We start from the raw sequence: 8,587 nt of genomic DNA, 5'->3' as shown, positions 1-8,587 counted from the left end.
GAATTCCTAGAAACTGTTTTCCTTGTCTGCGGCCATTGTGCTGCTGCTACACAACTACCGCAAGCAGCCCTTCACGCCCTCCTCCCAGTACAAAGCTAATTGACTTGTGAGAAATGTTAAGCTTGGAAGAGTCAGCATCGCTGCACTTATTTTTTATTCTACTCTGACATTAGAATAATCCTTGAGTGGGGGAAAGGTTAAAAACCCCCCTGGATAAGTGTTACTAATTAATGATGATTGTTTTAAACAATGTTTGGATAATTTTTCCTTGTCCCTTGACATAAACTTGATAAATAACTGAGAAGTGAGAAGGAGATTAGTGGGTTGATTAAATTCCATTCAGGTACTTAAAGTTAGCTCCAAAAATTTAGCTATTTGTAAATTGTCATGCATTGTTAATGTATAAGAGATGTAGATTTCATTTATCTTTGGTGGAGCGAGATGAAGCAGTGAATCATTGAAGACTGAAAGAAAGAAAAAGGTCTTTTCCCTTTTCTTTAAGAAGCATCATTAGTTAAAAACATGTTAGTTGATACCAGAGAACTATATTTAAAGGGACAGCAATAAGCAAATTGATTACTCTGGTGATTATTGGAGTGACATTGCCTTTTAGTTGTACTTTCACAAAAATTCACAATATTTGCCAAAGTCAAGTTATCCATTACACTATTAATTTGTCATTCTTTTGTTTATATAGTCAATATCTCTATCTCAATTGGATCTATCTCAACTGCTTCTAAACAAGCCACCATAGTCTCTCCCATTTCAACAATCTCTTCCAAGTACCACTTCATTTCTTCTTTTCATATTTTTGAAAACTTTTGAAAAACTACCTATTTTCCTCCTCCATTTCTTGTTCATTCCATTCTAGTGGACATGGAATCTGTTCCTCCTCCAAAACGGAATTTGGTCACCCTTAAATTACTAAACCCAAAACAATATGTTGTCTTTATCTTTACCTCTCTGTGGCATTTAATGATAAGACCACTACTTTCTTCTCTTTTACCCTTCTTTCTTGAATTCAGTCAAACAACGTACTTACATTTTTTGTCTTATTCTCCATCTTAGAAACCACCTCAGCTTTCTCCATTCAGCTATAAAATTGTGCTTTTCCTCAAAGATTAATCTGCCTCTCCTCTCACTCTATACTATCTCTGTTAGCTAATTTTATTTGTGCACATTGCTTATACTGGGCATTATATACACATATGCATGTGTGTACATGTGCACACACACACTGTATGTGGACATGTATATATATATATGTGTGTGTGTATATATATAGTATATATATAAATTACAATAACATAAAGGTGGCATTTTAAATTAGTGGAAATTACCCTGATTTGATCACTACACATTCTATACATGTAAAGAAAATATCACTCTGTATCCCAAGAATATGTACAATTATGGTTTGTCAAATGAAAAAGTTCATACATTGAAAAATTTTAGATAAATATCAAACTTTCTCTGAAACTGTAACTGTAAAATGTAAAAAACAGTAATTGCTATATTGCTTATTTCTGAGTAGAAGAATATGAGACATTTCCCTAATCATTATGTGTAATTACAATTACATATATATATGTAATTGTAATTACACATAATGATTAGGGAAATGTCTCATATTCTATATATATAGACAGAAAGAGAGAAAATATATGAGGGAGAGAAGGAATCTTTCCATCTCCTTTGAGTTCCACGGTGTTGAGAGTCAGGACAACTGCAATTGCTTCATCATGCCTGCTTGCAATTATAGGGCTTTTGAACCATTTGTTCCCTCCTTAGATATCCTCATTTTTTTCAGATTCTTGCTTAGAAGTCACTCCTCCGTGGACCTCCTCTGACATATTAAACATTGCAGTCCATTATAAGCTGCAAGAGGACAGGGATTTTTGCCTGTTTTATTCCCTACTGTATCACCAGGGGCTACAGCAATATCTGACAAACAGTGGGCATGTAATGAATATTTGTTAAGTGAAGTAATAAATTCAATCAAATCACATCACCTGTTTAAAGCACTTCATTGGCTTCACATTGCACTTAGAATAAAGAGAAATTCTTTTTATACAATATAAGTTCCTGCAGAATGCAGACACTTTCTACTTCTCCAGCCTCTTTTCAACTCCTCTCCTACTAGCTTCTGTATTTAAGCCACATTAGACCTTTCTTCAGTTTTTTATATAGACTTTGTCGCATCACACCTCAGAGATTCTGTACATGTTCTTCCTCCTGCCTAGAAAGGATCGTCCCTCCACTTTCGCCAACTAATCCCTGCTCAACTTTTCATCTCAGCAGGAGGCCCATTCTCTTTGGCAATCCTCTGGCCTCCAGCCCATTTATTATATGCTCACATGTCAACATGTACTTCGTACAGCATGTAACACAATTGCACTTTTATATTTTAACAAATTATATTTCCCATATTGAACTGTAAGTCTCCTGAAAGCAGGAATTTTGTTCTTGCTCATCATCAACTTTTTCAACATCCAGTGCACCATTTAGAACTTAGATGTAGTCAATAGAGGTTTGTGGAATGAAAGAGGAAAAGAAAGAATTAATATTCCTTTAAATTAGGATGGCAAAGATCGTATATAGAAAATTGGCTAAGTTGTGGTCCATTCATGTTTGCTCCCAATTAAGGAGCACAGCTATGAAAAGGAAGGCTTCAAATTAATAACCAATAGATTTTTTTAAAAAGAAAACTGGCCAGGTACTGTGGCTTATGTCTGTAATATCAGCATGTTGGGAGGCCAAGGCAGGATTACTTGAGCCCAGAAATTCCAGACCAGCCTGAGAATTTGGCAAAACTCTGTCTCTACAAAAATTACAAAAATTAGCCAAGTTTGGTGGCATGTGCCTGTAGTACCAGCTACTTGGGAGGCTGAGGTGGAAGAATAGCTTGAGTCTGGGAGGTCAAGGTTGCAATGAGCTGTGATTGCACCACTGCACTCAAGCCTGGGTGGTAGAGTAAGACCCTGTCTCAAAAAAAAAAAAAAAAAAGAAAAATCACTAAGCAAAATAAGACATGTGAAGGATCATGTCAAAGGTAAGAAAAATTAGGGGAACATTAAAAGCTTTCTTCCCAAGCCACTAAATCAACTTGACTAACAAAATTACCACTTGATTTAGCATTAGAAAATTACATTACATATCAAACATAAACCCATTAATCAAATACTAAAGAAATTTCTGAGTTAAATGGTATAATGTTAGCTTATGCCAGAGCTGACCTTGAAAGATTGTTCAAATATGGCTCAGTGTGATTGAAAGTTCTGTGTGAATATGTTTTTGGAAAGATCCAACAGCAACACCTTAGTGTATGTTTTTGAAATAAAATGTATCTGAGTAGCAGCAAAGTTATTCTCAAATTTCCATTTTATAGCTGGAGATGTTATACCGTGACGTATATGATAGGACCCAATATGGATCAATCCCTTTTAGAAGTCAATCAGGAAGAGGGGAGCAGTTAAAACAGTTGCTTGGTTTACAAACATTAGAACAATTTTCTTATTCACACCATCTGATTATTGTATTTTATTTTTTCCCCAACGTTTAGACTACACAATGAGTTAAGAATGATAAAAATAAGCTCACCAATATACTATGTACATATTTACCAAAATCTGTGCATGCTTATACATATAAACACAGCTGATAATTTATTAGTTAGGCTCATTTGTAATTTTTGTCACTATAGACCAGTTTTTTATTTAAATTGAAGATTAGTATACATTTTAAATGATTAGTCAAAATAAAAAATCTAAAATGTGCTCTAAATACCTCTTAGGTCAGAAAAAAAAAGTCAAAAGCTAGAGTATAGAGAAATTAAGAAACGCCCTAAATTTCTAATCTGACAAAAATTCATACAAGATTTAAATATTTTAATGGAAAATAGAACAGAACTAATTATTGAAGAAATTATAGAAAGGAAACAAAATAAACAGATTATATGGAGGATTTTTAGAAGATAAGTAAATAAATTAATATACTAGGAAAAAACAAGGGAAATATACTTGATAAATAAATACAGGTAAGAGTTCTTTTGAAATAATGATAAAATAGAAAATCTCTGTCAAAACTAAAAGGAAAGATGCATAAATATATAAATAAATGATAAAAAATGTTGCATACATATATGACTTTTTCAGAATCAAAAAATTTAAATTTCTGTAATAAAATTTAAATGTTTATAAATTTAAAAAACTAGAAGAAAGAATGTTGACTGTTCACAATACAAATAAATGACAAATATTTGAGGTGATGGATATGCTAATTATCCTTATTTGATCATTGGGCATTGTATACATGTATCAAAATATCACTCTGTATCCCATGAATATGTACAATTATTTGTCTCAAAAACAAACAAAAAAAAGATAATGGGAGAATGTTGAAAACTCAGAGAGAAGAGCAACTCTCACAGATAGGGATCCAGATAACATTAGCAGCTGATTTCTCGGCAGAAACCTTGAAGGCCAGTAGGCAGTGGATTATATATTTAAAATAATGAAGAAACCTGTCAATTGAGAAATATATAGCTGGAAAACTTATCCTTCAAAAATGAAGGAGAAATTAAGACATTTCCGGATTTTTTTTTAAAACTGAAAAAAATCCATTTATCCCTGAATTTGACATTCAGGAAGTGTTAAGTCCTTCAGGTTGAAATAAATGAACTCTAGGCAATAACTATGTAAGTAAATAAGCAAGCTGTATGAATATACAAAGCTCTCTGGTAAAGGTAAATACATAAACAAACATAAAAACAGTCCTATTGTAATTTTGGTTTGTAACTCTGCTTTTTATTTTCTACATAATTTAAAAGGCAAATGCATAAAATGTAATTGTAAATCTGTTAGCTGGTATACAATGAATAAAGATATAATTTGTCACATCAATAACATAAAAAGAGTAGAGCTATATATATAGCAGTAGAATTTTGGTATGTGATTGAACTTAAGTTGAAATAAATTCAAATTAAAATGTTATAACTCTAGGATGTTATATGTAATTCTCATAGTAACCAAAAATGAAATATATATAGAATATAAACAAAAGGAAATGAGACTAGAAACAAAATGTGTCACTACAAAAAAATCAACTAAAGATAAAAAAGAAATAATTGAGAAAATGATTGGCAAAAATCAGTAACTCTGACGTATTAAAACTTTCCATGCTACATAAATCTGAAAACTCTATTTCACATAAAACTGGAGCTGAAAGAAACAAATATTTACCTATAAAGTTAAAAGTTATATAGGGAACAAACACTAATTTTTTTTTAGAAAAAATTATAAAAAGAGTAAAAATATGCCTTATACTACCGTAATTTCATGTTTTACAGCTCTGGGAAAATAGAAAATAAAATGTTCTGTTAGCATGAATCCCTCTGTGCCCCCAAAAAACCCTATGGATTGCATCATTATTACCTAAAAAGTCTATTCTCAAATGCAGCAGAGTGATATTTTTTACAAGGTAGATATTAATTTTAGATATGGAATAATATTGGTGATTTCAATTTTATAACACTGGGTTAAGATGAAAGAATGAGAAGATAAAGGTCCCTCAGCAATATAACTCACAAACATGTTCAGAAGCAGTAAGAAGTTACATTAATTATCTTTTGAAAGTCGATAATCTACATCTTTAATGTATGCATATAGCATAGCCAATGTACTATCGCTGGGTCCATTTATTCAATGAATAATTGCCGCTATGTGTCAGACATTTTTCTAGGCCTAGGAATGGATACATAAGTGAACAAAGCAAAGATTCTGGTTCTTGTAGAGTTTCCATTAAAAGACAATTTAGTAAAACTTTTCTTCCCCCAAATTATAAAATCTGTAAGATGATTTAACAACATGTGTAAAAGTCATTGTGGGCCAGGCACGGTGGCTCATACCAGGTGTGGTGACTCATAGCACTCTGTCACCCAGGCTGGAGTGCAGTGGCACAATCTCTGCTCACTGCAACCTCTGCCTCCTGGGTACAAGCGATTCTCCTGCCTCAGCTTTCTGAGTAGCAAGGACTACAGGTGCACACCATCACGCCTGGCTAATTTTTGTACTATTAGTACAGACGGAGTTTCACCATGTTGGCCAGGCTGGTCTCAAACTCCTGACCTCAAATGATCCGCCCACCTCGGCCTCCCAAAGTGCTGGAATTACAGATGTGAGCCACAATGCCCGGCCTTATTTTCTACAACTTTGGTAACTTTAGCATATACCCCAAATCTGTAAGACATAATATTATAATTCAAATGCAATGCATGGCTTCTCTTTGTACTCTTTCTCTAGCTTTTGAATTATTTATTCTAATACCAGTTTTAATTCTGACACAAAATCATGGGAGTTCTAATCAAAATCCAACCTTTTATCATAAAAACTATGAAGAAATTATGAGTAGAATTTAAAAAGGAAAATAGGCCTATTAATTAGATTTGTCTTTGTAGCATTTAACTCTATAATAAATAATATTTTATGCCTATGAGTCCCCAACAAAGCCTCCAGCTTCTATTTAGATATAAACTGTAAAAGTCACTACTGGATCCACAAGCAAGACTATGGTAAATAAATTTCTCCACCTAACCAGCTTCTTTTACATGATGTTACATGTTTCTTTTGTTTTTTCATTTTGGCAAATATTGATTGTCATCTTCGTGTTTGTCTATGTCCTAAGTGCTGGGATACAGAATCTGAAAAGATGGACACAGGACCTGCCTTCAAGTTCACCCCCTTTTTTTTTTTTTTTTGAGATGCAGTTTTGCTCTTGTCACCCAGGCTGGAGTGTAATGGTGAGATCTCTGCTCACTGCAACCTCCACCTCCAGGGTTCAAGTGATTCTCCTGCCTCAGCCTCCCAAGTAGCTGGGATTACAGGTCCCAGCCACCACGCCTAGCTAATTTTTGTATTTTTAGTAGAGACAGCGTTTCATCATGTTGGTCAGGCTGGTCTCGAACTCCTAACCTCAGGTAGTCGACCCACCTCGGCCTCCCACAGTGCTGAGATTACAGGCATGAGCCACCACGCCCTGCTAGGAGTTCACGCTTTAGTTGGGGAAAATATACAATAAGCAAGCCAGTTTTTAAAATGAGAACTGCAATTAGAGTTAAATGCTACAAAGACAAACTCACAGGAAGATGGGATGTAGAATGATAAGGCTCTCAGAATAGTAAGAGAAACTATTGCTTCTTACGATGTTTGTCTTTCTTTGTATCGGTGCTCAGCTGAGTCTGCAGTGCTTCAGAGGCAGCTTTCATTTTATAAAAATCTATGATTTCTCCTTCCAGTTGTTTTTTCTCTTCCTCGAGCTTCCTTATCTCCTCCTGTTGAATCATTTTAAGATGCTCGAACTTGTCCTGCAGCTGTGAAACCAATGTGCAGTTGTGACACCAAAGCAGTGTGGCTGAACACCTAAAAGAATACGCTTTTTTTCTGATTATCAAACAAACCCAAATCATCACAGTAGAGCACGATCTTAATAACAATCTCAAAAACTCAGGAGTAAACACTCAGATATGGAATTTTTCTTTTCTTTCTTTTTTCCTTTTATAAGATGGAGTCTCACTCTGTTGCCCAGGCTGGAGTGCACTGGTGCGATCTCAGCTCACTGCAACCTCCATCTCCCAGTTCAAGTGATTCTCCTGCCTCAGCCTCTTGAGTAGCTGGGACTATAGGCATGCATCACCACTACAGGCGTGTGCCACCACACCTGGCTAATTTTTGTATTTTTAGTAGAGATGGGGTTTTGCCATGATGGCCAGGCTGGTCTCGAACTCCTGACCTCAGGTGATCCTCCCGCTTTGGCCTCCCAAAGACTTTTTTTTTTTTTTAATATAGAGACAAGTTCTCAGTACGTTGCCCAGGATGGTCTCAAACTCCTGAGCTCAAGTGATCCTCCCACCTCAGCTTCCCAAAGTGCTGGGACTGACTGGATGCAGTGGCTCATGCTTGTAAACTCAGCACTTTGGGAGGCCAAGGTGGGAGGATCGCTTGAGCCCAGGAGTTCAAGACCAGACTGGGTGATATAACACAATAGTCAACTTCAACAGGAGAGAGAATCTGTAAACTTGAATATAGATCTTCCGAAATTATCCAGTCAGAGGACAGAGAAAAAAAGAATAAAAGAGAGAAAAGAAGGCTGGGTGTGGTGGCTCAAGCCTGTAATCCCAACACTTTGGGAGGCCGAGGCAGGCAGATTAAGAGGTCAGGAGTTCAAGACCAGCCTGTCCAACATGACAAAGCCCCATCTCTACTAAAAATACAAAAATTAGCCGGGTGTGGTGGCACACACCTGTAGTCCCAGCTACTTGGGAGGCTGAGGCAGGAGAATCACTTGAACCCAGGAGGCGGAGGTTGGAGTGCAATGTGAGCCGAGACCACACATTACACTCCAGCCTGGGTGACAGAGCATGACTCTGTCTCAAAAAGAAAAAAAAAAGAGACAGAGAAAAGAAAGCCAACAAGACACCATTAAGCAAACCATTGTCAGGTTATGGGAGTTTGAGAAGGAAAGTAGAGAAAGGAGAATAAAGCTTATTTAAAGAATGGCTGACAACTGCCTAAATCATGGGAAAGATTTAGAC

The 8,587-nt window shown here is 35.6% G+C and overlaps 1 pseudogene; it reads right to left on the bottom strand.

Annotated features, from left to right (window-relative positions):
• Positions 4,784 to 7,368, bottom strand: SEPTIN14P3 (septin 14 pseudogene 3; annotated as a pseudogene).

This window comes from Homo sapiens, chromosome 3 (genome assembly GCF_000001405.40).
Source record: "Homo sapiens chromosome 3, GRCh38.p14 Primary Assembly".
Lineage (NCBI taxonomy): Eukaryota > Metazoa > Chordata > Mammalia > Primates > Hominidae > Homo > Homo sapiens.
The sequence above is the reverse complement of the archived record's forward strand: the minus strand, read 5'-3'. Positions and strand labels throughout refer to the sequence as shown.